Raw genomic sequence first — 20,850 nt, 5'->3', positions numbered from 1 at the left:
CCAGTTAGGCAGGCTACAGTATTTCAGTGTTTAATCAGTTCCCAGAAAACCTCAATAACACATGAGAGTCAAACTCAACTTTGAGAATTTGCAGTCGGTATTAAACAATTTCCTAAGCCTATCCTCCATGGACAATGCCTCATTGTGACCTCCTGCTATAAGAAGCCATTGAACTTTCTGCATAGAGCCATCAACTAAATACAGGAGTCGAGTCTGCATTGGGGGTGGCAGTGCACTTTATTAACAAACAAAACAGTACCATACAGGCAAAATCTTACTTCAGTGGCAAAGCACACACATAGGTATACTCCAACGTGTAGCACTGGGGCAAACTTCAGACATGGAACATTAGGCACCAAGTTCACAATCACACTAAACATAGTTCACAATCCTTCAATCCATACTCTTCAGTGGAGGATGAGGCCTTATTTAACAGTTAACTGGGACAGACAGATGAAGTTTTAAAATCTAATTCTTGGCCTAACTGTGGAGTGGGGCTGACTCAGCCTTCAGAACTGTGAAGTGGATGCCTTAACAGGGCCAAGATCTATCAGCCTCTTAAACTGACTTTCATTTCTCTGGTTCAGAGAAAAAGCTTATGGTATCTTCACGTTGGATGAACTTGCATATCGTGAGAGTCCTCAGCTCCAATTTCGTGTCTAGGCACATCTGGACTGGCATTCATTTTGATACCCAATCCATAGATTAATAGGGTTAATCTAATTAGAATAAATTAAATCGTTTTCCAAAAAGTTGAAAAGGGTAAATCACATGAGTTCTTCAACATTCAAGACTTTAAATATGTTAGCAAACTGATTACTGTTCCAACTGTTGCCAGTTAAGAAGTTTAAATCAGCATTTCCCAAAAGGTGTGTCAGGACTGAGTTAATCAGTAAGCTAATAGAAACAACTGCAATAGACTAGGGATGAGATTTCTCAAAGCAGTCTGATATAATATGCGGCAACTCCTTATGTACTGGAGCGTATCCAATACATTCTCAAAACTCCTAAATTAGCTAAAATGCAAGGTAAAGAGCAGTAGAAAAATGCAGCTCTTAGGATAGGCAAAACTTTGGAAGATTTATGTCCTCACACCAGGGTCCAGCAACTTAGGTTTGAATTTATGATAAGGTTAATGATATAATAAACTTGGGTTGGCTGGTTTCCCTGGCAATTGTTAATTCCCCTTAAATAAAAATATGTTGATACATTGTAAAAAGAAGTATTTTACAGTTGAAACCTTTGGAAAGGGCTTTTAAAAATCTGAGTTTTTAAAAGGGGAAAACAAGAGGTGGGCACCCTTGTGGGCCGACATTACTCCTAAGATAGAGAACTTAGTTTTCATATATAAAATGACTCAATTTCATGTCTTTTATAAAACTTAACAACTAAAGCAAGTGAGCTTGCTTTAAGGAAATTAGAGCCCTAATTTCTTTTCTGTTTGATAGTCTCAACAAATAACAGTCAAATTTATCATATGTATTTCAGTACTTAAGAGAAATTGGCATGCTTTGCTAATATTTATGCAGAGGTAACCATGTTGAAGACATATGTAAGTTGAGAGGTATGTCTAATTTTATGGTCATAGGAAAAATTAAAAGAAAACTGCTGCTTTCCTGAAGTTGAAATAGAATGTTACAACTGACAAGGATCCATTGGTGTCTAGCTGCCTTCCAGGGGGAAGAGAAGATGCCAGTCGTAGTTGGTCTCCCACAGAGCTAAGCAGGGAGTCCTCCTGGGGGACAGTCCTGCCACTATTTTCCTCTGCTCAACTGGAAAGCTGCACATAAGTCACAGCAAGTCAGTTTCAACATTCTAACTCAGTTAAACACTCTCCTCCATAAGAAGTGAAAGAGGAAAAATACAAATAAGCTAGCACTGAGACTAGATGTCTAGAGAAGTCGGAGGGACTACAAGTGGTCAGGAGATTCCTGAGGCAGCAGACCACAAGATGTCCCCATTCTGGTCTGAGGGTCTGCATGCCGCTACCCCCAACACTGCTTTCCTTTACTATTTCCTGATCCAAAGTGGAGGCTGCTTCCTCCAGGAGGCTGTGAGCCTCTAGGCTCTGTAATGACAGTTCACCATTGCCTAAGGGAAGAAAAAGGACAGTTACAGGCTGGGCCTTCACCTACTCCACCTCCACAGACAGAAAGTCAAATGCTTTGTTTCTGAAATCATCATGTATTTTGCATTGAAGGGAATAAAAACAGGACACAGAAATTGTTTCTGATGAGCACATCACGTTTAACTTTGTGAATTTCAGAAAGTGATCACAAGGCTTTATTCTATCAATTAACATGAGTTGATCTACACTGACAAATAAGATGGAGCTTGATCTTACTGAAATTAATTAGGTGATTCTTTGAATTGTTTTTACTTTAACAATGATTGGAATTAAGCCAAAGGTAGTTAAATCCAGTACACTTAAACATGGCCCAATGACACAGCCTTTAAACTTGTCAATATTTTCCTCTTGGTGGTATTGAAAACCAGTGAGCAGAGAGCATAAGAACAGAACTTCAAGACCGTGGCAGGAGCTTGTATTTGTACAGCACAAACCCCAGGGCAGTTACTGATGTGGAAAATCCAATGATCTTCAGCAGGCCAGAAACAGAGGGCAGGTTCCTTTCCCAGAAGGTGTGGGTGATTTCTACCGCTGGAACGTCCTAGATGAAGGAACACAGATCATGAGCAAAAAACTCATGCTGACAAGGAGGAACAAAACACTGCAAGATCCATGCATGGAGACCCCTGGGATAGTTGCATCTATAATTAAATCGGAGGCTAGAAGAAGGGAGATGTGAGTTTTATGTTCCATGATTGGTCTAAGGAGAGATAGTGCCCAGAGTCACCAAACTTACCTTTGATTCAGGTTCTTGTACCCAGATATCTTTCTCGGTCACCTTCCCGAGACCATTTAAGACCTGAAAGAAAGTCACCATGGTATTATGAAAAGAGGCTGTATAGTTTCTACAGATTCAAGGCCCTGCTAGCCACAGATGAGCCCCATGAGTGAGGGGCAGAGAAATGGACATACAGATTCTATCAGTGTCAAGAACTAGCAAGACCAGATGCCAAAAACGTTGCCGTGACTCGGGAGGGAGAGAGCCTGGGCTTTCCTGCTTACCTCCCTAGCTGCTCGTTCTCCAGCCTCAACTGCCCCTTCCATGTAGCCGCTCCACTTTGTGGCAGTCTCTGTGCCCGCAAAGAAAATCCTGCCCACGGGTTGACGAATCACCCTTCAAGGGAACCAAGAGGTTACACAGAGTTACTTGGGAAGGTGGGCAGGGTAAATGAGCCAATCACTGCCCTCATTTAGTCTGCAGAAGGCACAGAAATTCAGACTGTTTAAAAAACACCCGTATGACTTAGCCCAAGGTGAAAGGCCACTTTTTGCTTTCTGGATCTGCATAGAGGATCTGAACTTTCAAGTCAGGGAGAATCAGGCCATCAGATCATCAATCATTAAAGGGGATGTTGATCTTTTCCAAGCCAGCCAGAGCTGGAATATAAGAACATGTATTCAATCCCCAAATCAGATTTCTTTGCTGTTTCCTGTTGGCAGTCCATTCTTCTCCCTGTCCTGTCTTTCTCGGGGGAAGGTGCACTCTTCTTGAAAACAGCCACAGATCCAGCTTTGCAGGCACTCCCAGTGTGTCAGGAGGAACTGCAGTGGCAGGTGGGAAGACAGGGACGTCAACTATCATTTCTGGCAAAGGAGAGACCTGAGACATTATATGGGTGTGTCTCTTTAAGAAAACAACCTCTGTACAGTTAGCTTCTCTGAACTTCTCTGGGGACTGGCTGAGAGCAAGGAAATGGGTCTCCTCTTACAAAGAAGGGCTGGACTGAATGGACAGCTGTCCCCTCCAACTTTTTGGCTTTGACTCCTGCCATGTCCACAGCTAGTTTCATGAACTCTCCCAAGCTGCATGTCCTGCCCCCCACCCTGATGGCCTTCATCTCAACCCGTTGGCACTCCTTTTTCCAATTCCAGAACCCTGGGTTTCATCTATTCCTCATCTTAGTCTTGTCTTCTAGACTTCTACTTTGATACCAGAACTAATCCAGTTCATCAATCCTGCTATTGTTAACAAAGGCGATCTGACTCAATTAAGAAGAAAAAAAAACAGACTAAAAACTCCTGTAACGAAAAGGTTAATAAATACTTCCTCCTTTTCAGTGGACAAATGTGACCTTGTATTAACTTTCTAGCTCTGTTTCTCTGGAAACCAGATGAAGGTGTAATGCCATCTATGGAGGCAACACCATTTATGCTAAAAGTGCCTCCCCTCCCATCCCCACATTAGTGAACTGCATCCAGGCTGGGAGGACTCTAAATGAATTGTAAATACCTGGTAGGAGGCTATCACTTTGGGCTTCCCTGAGTGTGGTGTCTCTTGTAACTGAGCAAGTCTTATAACTGAGCAAGGTACCGGACACTATGCCTATGAAGCATAGAGATAATGGCTCCCATGGAGCAAGGGGCTTCTAGGTCAAGGTGGACCCACCCCACGTGGATGTCATTTCCTCACATCTCAACTGTATACAGTGAGGACTCTTCCCCTGAAGAGGACTGTCTGCTGATGCTGCTCTGTTGGCAAGACAGAAGTGTTGGATAAACACATCCAATGTCCTTCTGTGTTGACTGGTGCCAAGGAGCCTAAGGCAGTCATGTGAGACTAAATGTCAAGTTGAGCTCACGAAGTCCCCTTGGAGGACACTGTAGCTTGCTTCATTCTCACAAGCACTGTTCACATCTGAAATCCTCCCCACTGTTCTGCTATTGTTCTGTATGCTGACAGCTATTGTTCTATGTAATGACATCCTTATTTTTCTATGGACATCCAGAAATATACAAGTATTATCTAGGACATAAGAAATGGGGATTTTGACAACTATTTCTAGAATTTGCATTGAACTCTGCTTTTCCTTTTAAATTTGGCACAGGTCTTGGATTAATTGGCGTAGTGCTTGCGTAATACCTTCCATATTGAGTCATGATCCCAGGAGGGAAGTAGGCCGTGTAGCAGCCCCCAGAGTACTGCTCCTCACACCAGTTCTTCTCTTCATAATGCACTGGCTGCAGTTCAGTGGGGAAGAAAATACAAAAGAGAAAACAAAGCTGAAATGCTGCGAGTCAATAATATCGTTGCTTTAACAAAAAGTTTACATTAAGAAAATAAAGAAAATCCTGTTTTTCTAACTCACTTAAGGGGAAACATGATAGTACCAAGCAATGGCCTTTTGTGAAGTACCATGTGGCAAAACATGTATACTTTGCTCTTCCCATTTTCTTGATTAGGGAAGACATGAAGTATTCCAGTATCTGGGAGAGAGGGGTATCCATCCATCCATGCAGATTCTGAAGTCTTTAGAGCTAAGTCTATAGGAAACCCCATCAACAATTCAGCTTGTGGAAAGGTCTGCTCAAATCTCTGGAGTCCCTAATAACAGACTTTACTTCCCCATCTATCAGGCATTATTGCTAAGGAAAGGGTGGGAGGGAGGAGGCAGAAGACAAACAAATGTCTAAGAAAGGCTTTTTTCCCAGCCACTTTTCTAAGCTGGAAACATGTATGATGGGAATTCCACGAAAAAGCGGCAATTAAGATGAAAACTATTTCCTAGGGGACATGAGAGAACCTTCTCTAATTTCCCTGGCACATTCAGAAAGTTTATTATTTGAACAGTTTAGAGACAAGCCCCTGAAAGAGCGCTCAGCCATTCTATTTTTTTTTTCAAAAAGACGTAATTTCATTCTCCTAATTGCTTTCAGTGGTGGATTGAAAGCACTGATATTCCTAAATGAGTTGTGAATTGAGTTCACACATGGAAAAACAAATTAGTATGACTTTGACCTGGGAAGAGACTCTAGATTCAGTCTATCTTGTCAAGTACATACTACTTTGCCTTCACCAACAAATGATAACATATCTGGAATTTAATTGTGCAGCAGGTAAGTGACACTGACTGGGGGCAGGACTTCTGTTCTAGGAACCCAACTCACCCATTCTTGACATAATCCCTGCAGCTCTAGGCTCTCATTACAATTGGCTGCCAGTTATCTAGTGAACATTTAAACAGCCCAAAGAAGTTGCTGTGTCAGAAATTCCATGCGCCTAATACCAGCTTTTAATGACCTTTTGTGACTGCTGAAGTTTATCCTCCAAGTTAAGCATATCGCTTTATACTCTCTTCATAAGACTGTCAAAAAATCAGAATATGCTTTGCTTTACTACTTATAGTGAACAGAGAAGAACCTGCTAGGGATTAAAGCTGGGAGTTTCTTACATGTAAAGCTTCTTGGGATCCCAGCACTTTGGCATAGAGCTCACAGATTTTCTTCTTCCTATAAAACAGAGCCAAAAAAAAAAAAAAATAAAGTTAGGGAAGGAGTAACTGATGGGTATAGAATAAATACAGTGAGTTCTAGAGCTCTTGGTATCAACCAGATTTATTACAGATAAATTAAAATCCATGGCCTTCTGTAACTGCACAAATGAACATTTCCATGAATCCCCGCACTCAAATTAACTTTCAATGCCTCAGTAGTCATTTAATTTGAGGATTCAATGGAATTATTCTTTTCTTTTTTTACATTTTTGCCTCTTTCACTACCTAATATGATATCTTCTCGAGATAAAAATGGGAAAAATGAATTCAATTAAGTTTAGCCAGTCTTAGGAACTGATTCTATATAACTTTTCTGGAATACGTAGAGTTCTAAAATGATCCCTTTTATAAGTCTATAGTATAAGTGATGGTGTCTTTTAACTATCCTATACTTGTGTTTTAATTACCTACAAACATATAAAGCTCATTTCATCTTTTAAGCATAACATAAGATATGCTATACAGAAAGTATCTACAGTCATTTCAGTCTAGGAATTTGTCACTTGATAGAATGGTCTGTGGACCACAGTATTTCAAAGTGTATCTGAGGGATGGGCAAAATATGCTAATGTTACCTCAAACACAGCCTTTGGTTATTCTCATAATTCATTATCTAAATGACTAGCCCAGAACATGGTATTTTCATGTCTGAAAAAGTTAGTGGTTGTACTTATATAAACTCTTTTTGAAACGAAATACATTTTAAACTCACAACTACTCATGGTGAATTTTTTTAAAAGTCTAATTTACTAAAATCACCTGTTTTAGAAATTAATGGTTTTATTTCTGGATTTGTTTGCATAGGTTCACACTGATCCAGTTATATACTTTTCCTATTTACCTTTTATAGTTTTAATATAGTTTAAACATTTGAAAATGCTCTAAAATATTTGTTAAGGGATAACAAGCAACTGGAAAAATATTTGCTTAAAAATGTGGCAAAAGGTTTGAGTCAAATCTGTAAGACAAGTATTAAAAGCTGAAGAGACAAAATTATGCAGGGCGGGGGGAGCTCAAGCTTACTGGTAATAAAGAAATAGAGATTTAGAAATATACAATTTTATGTTGCCAATTACATTAGAAAATATTTTAAAGACATGCCCCCAATTTCTCTGAATAACATGGGACAAAGTGTAACCTTATAAATTTATCTAAATCCTCACACTTAAACCATTTTTATAACTTCCAGAACATTCACCTCATATGTATAAAATCAGGAGGAGGAGGCAGATTATAAACTTTGCTTATTGTTACCATTTTCCATGGAAGGTTTAAGGGAGAGACAAATGCCACTCCTGAGATGATGTCATGCAACATTAGATGGATATTTAGGTGGATAGTTAAATTTCAGGATAGTCAGAGGAAGTTTGGCTTCCTTCAAAGAGCTGCTCACATTATACATAAAAAGTCATAAAGGAAAAGAAGAATGGGAAGAAGTCTCAAGACTACTGTCTGTCTGTCTGTCTCTCTCAGCCTGATTCAAGCCCCTCATTTCAGAGATGAGGAAACCGAGGCTCAGGGAGCTGCAGAGATCTGTTTGATTTTGCTCAGCTAATTAATAGCAGGGTAAGGCTATTACCCTTCTGAGTAATCTGCCCATAGTAGGTACTCAATAAATATTTGTTCAGTCAAAACCCATCCTCAGCCTACTCTTTGCCTAGTCTATGAAGAGATGACTGATTCTAACACCTACTTCACAAGGGTGTTACAAGCAATAATTCAGACATTTCAAGTTAATTAGAAAATGAAAGTATCGGCAATGATTATTCTAAAAAAGCTCAACAGTACTTAACTTATTACTGTTATTATTATTTCTGAGATAGGGTCTCACTCTGTCACCCAAGCTGGAATGCAGTGGCACGATTATGGCTCACTGCAGCCTTAACCTCCCTGGACTCAGGTGATCCTCTCGCCTCAGCCTCCCAAGTTGCTGGGACTACAGATACATGTCACCAGGCCTGGCTAATTTTTTTATTTTTTTGTGGAGACGGTTTCTCTATGTTGCCCAAGCTGGTCTTCAACCTCTGCACTCAAGCAGTCTGCCTGCCTCAGCCTCCCAAAGTGTTGGGATTACAGGTGTGAGCCAATGCGCCAGGCCTGCTTAACTTACTTTCTGGATGTGTAATAAAATTTTTATTAAAGCAGAGTGAAACCTGAAATCCAATCAACCCACATTGTAGTTAGTTTTCATTCATGAATGTTAAAAACAATTATAATAGTTACAAGTCATTATTTACTGTATTTCATATTATTAGAAGAGCCAAGGATGTGTTCACACAAACATAGGAAATTATCTTTCCCTTTCCCTTCTTCCCTTTAAAATTAAAAATTTTTGGAAAAGATATGTAAGGCAAGGATGTTAAAACAATGCACTGATTGATTAATTTGGCTCTAAAAATAACAGAACCTAAGTGATGAATAAAAGAGGCCACTGTGCAAATCATCTCGTTGAACTTATTCACTGGTTTCTAAATCTGGTTGCTTATCATAATCACCTGAAAAGCTTGTTGAAAAATACAAATACACAGGCCCCACCTCAAACCTACTCAATCACAATCTATAGGTCTTATAAAAACATATTTTCCAAACATCTTTTGGGATATTTTGATGCAGTCAGATCTGGGAACCACTGTTTTTGTCAATGACATATTTAGTAAGGGTTTTGCCTTACAAGAACTTTTGAGAAGTTCAGCCACTGTGTGGAATCATAACCAAATGTCTACCTACAGGCTGGTATTTATTTTACTATTAATAAGGAGGGAAAGCAGGAAATCCAAAAGAAAATGTCAGCTTAGTGTGGTGTAATGAAAAAGTATGCGCTATATGCTACTCCAGACTTTTTGTCACAAGCTAGCTGCGATGATTTGAATGTATGTGTCCCTCCAAAATTTAAATGTTGGAACTTAACCTCCAAGGTGATGGTATTTTGAGGTGGGGTCTCTGCGGAAATGATGAAATCAGGAAGATTCTGCTCTCATGAATAGATTAGTGCCCTTATAAATGGGCTGGAGGGAACTAGCTAGGCCCTTTCTGCCCTTCTGCCTTCCTCCAAGTGAGGATACCACCTTCATCACTTTTTGTCCTTCCTCCTTCTGCCTTTTCTGCCATGTGAGGGCACCATGAGAAAGTGCTACCTACGGAACAGGTTCTCACCAAACACTGAATTGAATCTGTTGGCATCATAATCTTGGACTTCCCAGCCTCTAGAACTGTGAGAAATAAATTTCTATTCTTCATAAATTACCCAGTTTCAGGCACTTTGTTACAGTATCACAAATGCACTAAGACACTAGCTATGGAGGCTTGAACAAATCATTCCCCATCACTGGACCCCAAATCCCTCCTCCATTGAGTGAGTAGAGTTTATTTTTAACAACCATGAGATTCCACAATCTCATGGTTGTTTGAATCCCATGATTGTTGAGATTCAACCATTTACCACTTACAGTGAACAGAGAAGAACCTGCTAATTGAAACTGGGAGTTTCTTCCATGTAAAGCTTACCTGCAAACCATGAGATTCAAATAAACAAATCCGTGTGCACATGTAGGAACTCATTCTGCAGCCTTTCCCCCACTTCTAAAGTCATCAGAGTAACTCCCAAAGCAACGGCTGCTAATGGGTTAGCTGTTTAATTTTTTAAATTACATTCAGAGAAAAGTCTATATTTTTGTGTATGTATTGGACCTCTTTAAAAGCTAGCAGAGGATTTAGGGCTACCCAGAGGCAACCCTCCAACAGCCAAATAACTCTGATGTTAAAAGGCTTACCTCTTCAGGTAAGACTTTAATTGAACAAAGGATTCCAAAACAAAACAAAACAAATATACCATGACAGGAAGAGAAAGGGAGAAAGAAAGAAAAAAAAAAAAACCACTGTCCTAAAATAAATTTTATACTAGGAAGCTTTCAGATAAGGGAACATCAGAACTGTGTCCCAGATAAGCAGTAGTGAATATTTTCATGTACAAAAGTTGCTACAGGTTAAAATATACTTTTTAGAAAGTCCATGTCAGAGAATCTTAGAAAAAGATTATGGCCTTGAAAGAGGATTGGGATTCGGTTTCTACAGCATTTTTCACAGCTAATATTTTCTATGATTTTTATCCATCCATCTCTCAGGGAAATCCTACCTCTTAACTACTGTAAAATAAACACGAACATGTAAAATTAATATATGCACACGGGCAAGGGCTAGGTCAAGAGGGCTGTAGCAAAATACAAAAGGTTGGTTTGTTGGAATTTTGAGAATATTTGTGAAGTACTGTGTTTTTCCTCATGTTATTCTACTACTGTCAGTGCAAAAACAAAATACAAAGCTAACTTTTTCATCTATTTTTCAGTTATAAATTCTTACCTTATTTCCTTATGTAGCTTAGCAAGTCGATCAGCTTTCCGGGCAAGAATGAAGCTGGAGAGAGAGGTTACATTGAATGATCAGGTTACAGCTGTTTATTTTAAGAGCTGCCCTTTCTTTCTGAAGTATTCTTAACCTGTAGCTATTCAGCATGAAATGAACTCTCTCAGACCCTCCTCCTCTAGTAGGGCAAATGCCATATTGTCTTTGGTCTGCCTGTGTGTCCAAAACCCCTGCTAGGCTGTGATCCCCTACACGACAGGTGACCTCCTATTCAATATTTTACTTCTAAAGTTTAACATGGTTTTTGGCATATAGTAGGAAATCAAATGTTGAATGAATGAATGTTGTGCTAAATGATTATTCTGGTAATGACTGTTGCCTTCTGCCAAATACTTTATCAAAGCTGGAAAAACAAATATAAACATGTGTCTGTAGTGGAGGCCACGGTGGGCCCCCCAGGCTCCCTTTGGGACCAGGCACTCGTTACTCTTACCTCACAGCTGAAACCTTCCCCAGTAATTGGACGGGGCAGCAGAGAATGCCTCGCTCAAGGTCCCACCCCTCCCTAGAGTTGTTCTGACCTAGATGCGGTTGAAGACAACTCTGAAGGGCCACCCAGCTCCAGAACTTCCAAGGGAATGGCAGAGGCCTTTGTTGGGACAACATTGGAGCTCAAGTTCCGCATAATCCTTCTGCCATAGGTAGTCATCCCCAGAGCACTTCCCAATAAAGTTCCAGCACCCAGATCTCCAGCTCTGAGTCAGCTTCCCTGGAAACTGACCTAATATAGTCCCCAAATAAAGTAACTCAATAAAACTCAGTTATAACCTGCCTGCTCCCCTTTAATCAAATATATTCTATTTATTATACTGATATTACTAACTGCATGTATATTTAAAAGAATTGAATTGTGACATGAAGTCCTTAGTTATACTATTATTAGAAAGCTTTCAAAAATCCAAATGAGCTAAAGGACAATGAAATTATTTTTCCATTAAAAAATTTTTAAATTTGTATTTCTTTTATTCAAGACCAAAAGGACAGGTAGATCAGTGCAAAAAACAGATATTTCCTCCTCTCCCTACCCACAAATTAAAGTGTTCCTCAAATTGGATTGGCAGTTCCTTTAGGGCTGTTATTTGAGATCACTTTGAGAAGCAAAGATGTATGTTAATGTAGAGAATAGTATTTCAGAGAAAGCTGTGGACTATTTAGGAAATCTGAACTATTGAACTTTATGGGATATAGTCATAATTTTGCATGATTTAACACCTCAAGTTATAGCTTGTTATTAATTATTTTAGTTAGATTCTGGGTTTATGCAAGAATCAGTAAGTTTAGATGTATATAGTTTTTTTTAATCATCAATATCTGATAAAAGATTAAATGATTTATCTGAAAACATTTTTAGTCAACTTGTCTTGTATACTTTTTACAGTTCCCTTCCCAAAGGGCAGTTAGTGTTGGTTATTTCTGTCAAATCTCAAGTCATGAATGAAATAATCTCTTTGATCTAATCCCAACTATGGATAAATAAGCTTTAACTTACTTTGGTGTTTTATTGAGGAAATTAAACATGCTGGCTTTGTGTTGGAAACATTTCACAGTTCTAAAGTACAAGGTCCTTTCTAGTTTCCAAAAGTTTATTACAAACACAGTGCTGGGCAATTACCACCCCTATCTTCAAGGTTTTCGTGGCTGTGGCCATCAGCAAAGAGCAGGGTGGAGGCAAGTGTCAAGATGAAAGAGATTAGAATATCACTTTCTAAGAATTGCCTAAATAACTCCATTAACACCTGGAAGGTTATTTGAGCCCTAACCTAGTTAATAATAAAGCTGAAGAAAGCCCAAAAGCATTGTACACATAAAAACTTGCACCCACAACCAATGCTCAATAAATGGTAGCTTTAATTTTTAAGACTACATCGCCAAGTTAAGAAACAGATTATTTTGGTATTCCCCAGTTTCCAAGGAAACTCTCATCTTCTGTACTTGGTCCTCTATAACCAATTATTATTATTTTATATTTGTTTTAGCCCCACTGTCCACAGAACACAACCGTTTAACATTTTCCTTTTATACTATTTATCTTAAGTAAAATCATTAAAATATTGAGTTCCACTTCCAAAAAAAAAAAAAAAAAAAGAAAGCCCAAAAACAGCAGAAGACATCACTATATCTAACTCCCAGGGCAAGAAAAATATCAATTGCTCTTCCATTCATAGTTGGATTTGTCTTAACCGACATTCTCCTGAAACCTGTACCTGAACCTCCTGCTTTTCTCTGGCATATAGAAGATGATGTCAAACTACCCAAACAACCTATATCCTCTTCTGCCCAATAGGGTTAGAGATGAAGAGGATGTGTTATTCCAACAGTCATTATGTTGTAAGCACCTGCCTTTCTCAGGGAGGCTGGTGTTCTTATATGTTACAATGAGAGAAGTGGTTATAAAATGTCTCATTAGTAACCAGCAGCACAACCTGCTTTCTAACTTCCCTGGGATGTGGGTCTGCTCCTTTTGCCTTTGTAATTTTCCTTCAATGACATGATGTGCATGAGTTCACCTTTCCCTCTGAGCAAGAGCTATGCATTTCCTAGGGGTAAAGGGGAGACCACTGGTCTCTAAAAGTCACTTGATTGCTACTGAAGCTATGTTCTTTTGTTACAGTGTGGTAGAATAAATCGCCTTTTATTTGTATAGTTTTTGAGGAGGCCAAAAGGCAGGCAAGAGGGAGGCTGTGGAACTCCTTAGCAATTCATTTGTGGGGACACCACTTCCTTCTCTGGACTCCCCAGCCCCCAACGAGTAGGACAGCTATGTGCCGGAATGAGAAGAGAGGGGAAAAGCTCTCATTTTCCCTACACAGAACCAGGCCCTGGGTCATCCGCACACTTTAGAGGTTAAGTGAAGCACCACTGGTGAAGGATAACTAGAGTGACCCACCAGAAAAACTGCCATGCCATCCAATCAAGGCCTGGCTCAATTCTGAACTGGGCCTCCTAATTGGTCAGCTGTCTTATATCTCAGGGTAACAACTAACATTTGCTATGTAGCAGATATCTGGAATGGAGAAAAGGATAAAACCGAGAAACCCCACATTTAGAATGTTTTTATAGAATAAAGCGGTTAGTTCTCATTTCAGAATGGCTGTGGACATTCTGCCTGTAGGCAGGGGTGGCTACCATACTGCCTGTCTAGCTGCTTTTTTTCACTCCATCCTCAACACGTAAGCTTTGTATGAGAGAAAGACATACATGGGTACAAGTTCAAAATGGTGTCAATTTTAGTAAAGTTTCCCAGTATTCTTGTGCTACATACGAAACATTACTGCAATATTTTAACACATGGAAACATTATATATTTTGATAGCATTATTCATCATTGCTTGAACTTAATTCCAAAGTAATATACTTTGACAGCATCCACACCAATACATCAACACAATTTGGAAAATGCAGAACACCCTGCTCTAACCTACCCCATGATGGCAGGCAGTGACCCATCTGGCTTGGTGTCATCCAAGGTTATTGAAATTGGAGCATCTTCATCTTCAATGATCATGCAGCCACAGTAATCTTAACCAGGAGAAAAATCAATGGGAGATCGAGATCAAGCTCATCAGAGACACCCATACACACATAAATATATATAAACTATTTTTTAAGAGGAAGTAAAAACTTAAACTCTTGGTCTTGGCCCCAACCCTACATGTCTTGTTAAATACACACACTGAATATATAAGGATGTCTATTCACCCACAGACAGAAAATGACCCATCTCCATCACCTTTACATAAAGGGCTTATGACCAGCCAATGCATGACAAAAATGGTAAGATAACCCTGGCTCCTAGCATACATGAGGAAAGAGAAGGGCTGCATTGGAGGGAATGACCCAATCCAGGGAAGAGGTGGGAGGAGGGAATCCGATGAGTATAACCAGAATGCTTATCAACAGTAGCCACCATATCTGGGCAGCTTTCTAAGTCCAAGATCCTGCCTCATTTAATTCTCACAACACCGTAGTGGTAGGTATTACTGTCACCACTTTACAGCTACAGACTGATGCTAGCAAGCAAGCGAAGTCCCGGAATGTGTAACTTCAACGCAGTGCTCTTTCCATGGTGCCTGTTGACCTCACTCTGCTCATAAAAAGTAAGAAGCAGGACAGATGCCAGGAGTCAGGGCAATGGTGGCCTTATGACTGATGTGATCTCCTTCTTCCCTCCCATTGCCAACAAGTGCTCTTGGGGTCATTATGTGTGGCCAAGGATATGAGGAAATTGACAGACCAAGATTTCTAATCCTTTTTCTACCAGTTTGAAAATACTTTGTTTCTGTTCAATACCTTCTGTTCAATAATCCTAAAAGACTGTGATTTCTTCATATAATACAGTTTAAACATGAATAATAGCAGCCTACCCTTCTTCTTCCAGAAGGCCTCCTTGTAATACATCATGCACTTAATGACAGCTCCCATTGGAAGCCGCTGAATTAACTGGTTTCTCTCTGCTGGAAGCTCTGGTCTGAAGTGAATCTTGGCAGTCAAGGTCGGAGGGATCGCATTAATTACGTATTTGCACTAAAACACACACAAGCAAAATATTACCTCAAATGTGAGCTGCAGTCTTTGTGGCAGGCGTGAAAAATCATCTTTATCACTTCTAAACAACATTGAGCAGTAAAAACATACAAAATGAGAAAATGAGGCAACTGTGAGGCAACAAAACAGATCAAGGTAGGTCAACCAAGGCTGGTAATTTGGAAGACTGAGGCGGAAACATGTCAGCATTAATTATGCTACTGCTTGAATTATATCTGGTTAGAAACTGCAAAAGACACAAGGCCTATTTACTATATGCTCCTTTTGACTAAACTGAGTTACCTCATAATGTTCATGGTTCAGCGTCTCTATGATGATGTTGTCACTTGACTGGTCAACGTGAGTGACAGGATGGTTCAGCTTCACTTGGTCTCCGAGGAGGTCCATTATCCGTTCGCTCACTTGACCAGATCCACCTACAAACTTCCGTTCCTACAGGAGGAGGTAGGTAAGAAAGGAAACATTATGAAAGCCCAAGGAAGGAAAATCCTACTGGCTACTGATTAGAAAACCTCCAGAAAGTCACAGGCCACACCTCTAACGTCTGCACACTTAACTGTCAGAAGACTTCATTAGGACAGAGGCAGAGTTGACCAAGACAATTCAATGATCATTCCCTGCACAGCTTCTGGCAAAGAAAAGCCATTACAAGTTTATAAAAATCACAGAACCCGAAGAAATGTTCCACTATGCCAATGCTGCCCTGACCAAGGGGAATATCAGCAAGTCTGTGGGCTTCAAATGTCAAAGAGTGCAGGGTGTGGAGGGAGCCCTGAGAAGGGGCAGGCACAGGGCTTATTCCAGAGGATGAAGTTTCTAATTTCCTTTGATTCCTGTGTTCTGGGCTGAGGTTGTCCAGGCAGGTAAGGATGCAGATAGAGCCATATTATAGACAAAGTTACAGGGTGCTTTTAGGGATAGTCACGTCCTACTAGTCCTACTAGTCACCACCAAATGATGTTCTAAGAATGGGAAGAAGGGCCGGGTGCTGTGGCTGTACTAAAATTACAAAAATTAGCCAGGCGTGGTGGCACGTGCCTGTAATCCCAGCTATTCGGGAGGCTGAGGCAGGAGAACCACTTGAACCCAGGAGGCGGAGGTTGCAGTGAGCCGAGATTGCACCACTGCACTCCAGCGTGGGCAACAGAGCTAGACTCCGTCTCAAAAAAAAAAAAAAAAAAAAAAGATTCGGAATATCAGATCTTGAGTAACTTTTTGCAAAACTATCTGGAAGCTTCAAGGCAGAGGCAGAGGGTGAAGGCTAAGCATCTGCTTGCTCCTTTAGATATTGTTAAATAGTTCTCTTGAGCGGCCCTTATAAGACCAGAAGTGCTCTACCCTCTGCCTTCTGCTACGATCACCATGGAAATGTTTCCAGCTTAATCTAAGAAGGTAAGTCCTTAACACAATGCTTTTGGTAAGAACCAGAAGGATATTTTTAGCCTATTATAGAAGATTCTTTTTTTTTTTTTTTTTTTGAGACGGAGTTTCACTCTTATTGCCCAAGCTGGCATGCAATGGCGCAATCTTGGCTCACTGTAACTTCCGCCTCCTGGGTTCAAGTGATTCTCTTGCCTTGGCCTCCCGAGTAGCTGGGATTACAGGTGCGTGCCATGACACCTGGCTAATTTTTGTATTTTTAGCAGAAATGGGGTTTCATCATGTTAGCCAGGCTGGTCTCAAACTCCTGTCCTCAGGTGATCCACCCTCCTTGGCCTCCAAAAGTGCTGGGATTACAGGTGTGAGCCACCGCGCCCAGCCAGAAGATTCCTAACAGATTCCTCAATCATACTCCTCCAGAAAACTGCATAAGCAGCCACGCAGTGATTTTTGCACTTTTGTAACTGGCTACTGTTTTAATAACAACACCAAAGTTCTTTATAAAAAATATTCCTGGCTAGGCATGGTGGCTCATGCCTGTGATCTTAGCACTTTGAGAGGCTGAGGCGGAAGGACTGCTTGAGCCCAGGAGTTGGAGACCAGGCTAGGCAACAAAGCAAGACTCTGTCTCAAAAATTAAATTAAAAAAAGGAAAAAAAATTCCCAGAGTGGTTCAGACCTAAATTCATGATTTGTCTTTCCTCAAGAAACCCAGACCATTTAACTTATAATCTGGTCTGTTTTCTAAGAGGTACTTTGAGTTTTAGTGTGGTGGAAAGACCACGAACTGTTTCTGTCTTGTTCACTGTCCACCCCTCCAGGTCTAGTATTTGTTGAATTAAATTACAGGATAAGCCTAAGTTCTTTATAAAAATATTGTGACCATGGTTTGAGATTAATCATCTGAACCATATTTTCCAAAAGGTCATGTAGAATTTGGCTAGAAGTATCCTGGCTCCTCTGAATGAAGGAAACAAATATCAAATGTAAATCAAAATACCTCAGAAAGTAAAATACTGGCTAAAAGGAGTAATCTGTCATCTCTGCCTGTAGGTAAAGACATTTAAAAAATGCAACTGTCCTGCATTTGTCAAGGCTAAGGGTCAAATGGGCAATGAGTCTTGGTGTCACAAGAACTTGGGGATTTCCGGTGATCTCCTCAGGAGAAGAATAATTCACTTGGCAGAGAAAGACTCTATACCTTGTACTGTGCACTCAGAATTCAGGAACTCAGAGAACCTAAGTTAGAAGTAAACTGCTACTAATTAAACCTCATACCATCCAAGCACAACATTTATAGAACAGAGATACCCATTCTCTTTGGATAACAGAAAGGGTTGAAGCAGAGAATCTCAGAGTCTGGGGAATTAGGATTCTGGCTTCGCCATGTGTCCAGCCAATGAACGAAATGAATTCACTTATTAATAAAGGAAATGATATGGAAACTGGGCAAATTCAAGTGGGTAGCAAAAACTAAGAATCCAAAAGGCAGAATTTACTATTGCAAGAGTGGCCATAATCACTTGCGTGAATTAGAAGGAAGAACAGTCACTTCCCTTCTGTAGCAGTTAACATAAAAGAATCACTCTGATAAACAGATGGGACAGAAACCTTGTGTCTAGAACAGAGATGATTTTAAGTACAATAATTGTACAATTTCTAGAATTTTTTGGAAATTATTTTAGGAATTTAGCTTCTCCTACATAAACAGCCTAATTTTACCTGCTACCAAAAGGAAGGAACTTAATTCTCAAAACCTAATTAATTCAAAATGAAACATTCTTTATCTGTGAACTCCTTTTCAGGAGTGACAAAAGGAAATGAGAAATTTTTTTTTCAGAAAATCTTTTGAGATCATTTCATGCTGCTAATTATTCATGTTTCAAAATCCTGAAGCAACTATTAAAGACACTGCCCTGGGAGAAAGCAAAATCACAGATGAAGCTCTTGTTTCAGAACAGACACATACACACCATACCTGGCCACCATTGGTGACAGAGAATATCCGAGTGGTGCCCCCGCACTGCTTCACATACCACAAGAACCACAGGGCAGACACTTCGTGAGGCTCAGAGGTCACATTGATATTCACAAAAAGATAAGCAAACCGCCTAGCAGTCCTGTTCATAGAACAAAAGTGGAAGTCAGGTGTCAATATGTACAGGAGTCAGAGAATGTCATGTTTTTACAACACGATTTAGTGTGTTCAGAAAGTTTTTCTGTTGCAATTGAAAAAAACTCTCAAGGATTCAATTTCTGAAGGAATGCATTCTTTAACTCTTGGAGAAACTAACATTTTCTCCTGCTTAAGAAATTATGAGTTGAAAAGGAGCCAAGGGTCCAGCAAGACAGCCAAACAGAAACAGCTCCGGTCTGCAGCTCCCAGTGAGATCCGCGCAGAAGGTGGGTGATTTCTGTGTTTCCAACTGAGGTACCTGGTTCATCTCATTGGGACTGGTTGGACAGTGGGTGCAGCTCATGGAGGGCAAGCCGAAGCAGGGCAGGGCATCGCCTCACCTGGGAAGTGCAAGCGGTTGGGGGATTTCCTTTTCCTAGCCAAGGGAAGCTGTGAGAGACTGTCCCAGGAAGAACGGTACACTCTTGCGCAGATACTGCGCTTTTCCCACAGTCTTCACAACTGGCAGATCAGGAGATTCCCTCCGGTGCCTGGCTCAGTGGGTCCCACACCCATGGAGCCCAGCAAGCTAATATCCATTGGCTTGAAATCCTCGCTGCTAGCACAGCAGCCTGATATCGACCTGGAATGCTCGAGCTTGGTGTGGAGAGGTGCATCTGCCATTGCTGAGGCTTGAGTAGGCAGTTTTATGCTCACAGTGTAAACAAAGCCACCAGGAAGTTCGAACTGGGCGGACCCCACCACAGCTCAGCAAGGCCTACTGCCTCTCTAGATTCCACCTCTGTGGGCAGGGCATCTCTGAACAAAAGGCAGCAGCCCCAGTCAGGGACTTATAGATAAAACCCCCATCTCCTTGGGCCAGAGCACCTGGGGGAAGGGGCAGCTGGGGGTGCAGCTTCAGCAGACTTAAATGTCCCTGCCTGACAGCTCTGAAGAGAGCAGTGGTTCTCCCAGCACAGTGTTTGAGCTCTGATAACGGACAGACTGCCTCAAGTGGGCCCCGACCCCCGTGTAGCCTGACTGAGAGACACCTCCCAGTAGGGGCCAACAGACACCTCATACAGGAGAGCTCTGGCTGGCATCTGGTGGGTGCCCCCCTGGGACAAAGCTTCCAGAGGAAGGATCAGGCAGCAATAGTTGCTGTTCTGTAGCCTCTGCTGGTGATACCCCAGCAAACAGCATCTGGAGTGGACCTCCAGCAAACTCCAACAGACTTGCAGCTGAGGGGCCTGTTAGAAGGAAAACTAACAAGCAGAAAGGAATAGCATCAACATCAACAAAAAGGACATCCACACAGAAACCCCATCCATAGGTCACCAACATCAAAGACCAAAGGTAGATAAAACCACAAAGGTGGGGAGAAACCAGTGCAGAAAGGCTGAAAAATTCCAAAAACCAGAACGCCTCTTCTCTTCCAAAGGATCACAACTCCTCGCCAGCACGGGAACAAAACTGAACAGAGAATGAGTTTGATGAATTGACAGAAGTAGGCTTCAGAAGGTGGGTAATAACAAACTACTCCGAGCTAAAGGAGCAGGTTCTAACCCAATGCAAGGAAGCTAAGAACCTTGAAAAAAGGTTAGACGAATTGCTAACTAGAATAACCAGTGTAGAGAAGAACATAAATGACCTGATGGAGCTGAAAAATGCACCACAAGAACTTCGTGAAGCAGACACAAGTTTCAACAGCCGAATCGATCAAGTGGAGGAAAGGATATCAGTAATTGAAGATCAACTTAATGAAATAAAGCGAGAAGACAAGATTAGAGAAAAAAGAGTGAAAAGAAACAAACAAAGCCTCCAAGAAATACGGGACTATGTGAAAAGACCAAATCTATGTTTGATTGGTATACCTGAAATTGACAGGGAGAATGGAACCAACTTGGAAAACACTCTTCAGAATATTATCCAGGAGAATTTCCCTAACCTAGCAAGGCAGGCCAACATTCAAATTCAGGAAATACAGAAAA

The 20,850-nt window shown here is 40.8% G+C and overlaps 1 protein-coding gene across 2 annotated transcripts in view; it reads right to left on the bottom strand.

The window, feature by feature from the left end:
• Window positions 219-20,850, bottom strand: part of MAOA (monoamine oxidase A) — a 91,812-nt gene continuing 71,180 nt past the window's right edge. For both annotated transcript variants that reach the window (NM_001270458.2, NM_000240.4), the window contains 10 exons: window positions 18,722-18,863; window positions 15,646-15,795; window positions 15,183-15,342; window positions 14,241-14,337; window positions 10,756-10,809; window positions 6,298-6,355; window positions 4,989-5,086; window positions 3,131-3,242; window positions 2,865-2,927; window positions 219-2,669 (listed from right to left, as the gene is read on the bottom strand). In NM_001270458.2, the coding sequence (NP_001257387.1) occupies window positions 2,523-2,669; window positions 2,865-2,927; window positions 3,131-3,242; window positions 4,989-5,086; window positions 6,298-6,355; window positions 10,756-10,809; window positions 14,241-14,337; window positions 15,183-15,342; window positions 15,646-15,795; window positions 18,722-18,863 (1,081 nt within the window). In that variant the 3' untranslated portion in view covers window positions 219-2,522. The remainder of the gene's footprint in view (window positions 2,670-2,864; window positions 2,928-3,130; window positions 3,243-4,988; window positions 5,087-6,297; window positions 6,356-10,755; window positions 10,810-14,240; window positions 14,338-15,182; window positions 15,343-15,645; window positions 15,796-18,721; window positions 18,864-20,850) is intronic.

This window comes from Homo sapiens, chromosome X (genome assembly GCF_000001405.40).
Source record: "Homo sapiens chromosome X, GRCh38.p14 Primary Assembly".
NCBI classification, from domain to species: domain Eukaryota; kingdom Metazoa; phylum Chordata; class Mammalia; order Primates; family Hominidae; genus Homo; species Homo sapiens.
The sequence above is the reverse complement of the archived record's forward strand: the minus strand, read 5'-3'. Positions and strand labels throughout refer to the sequence as shown.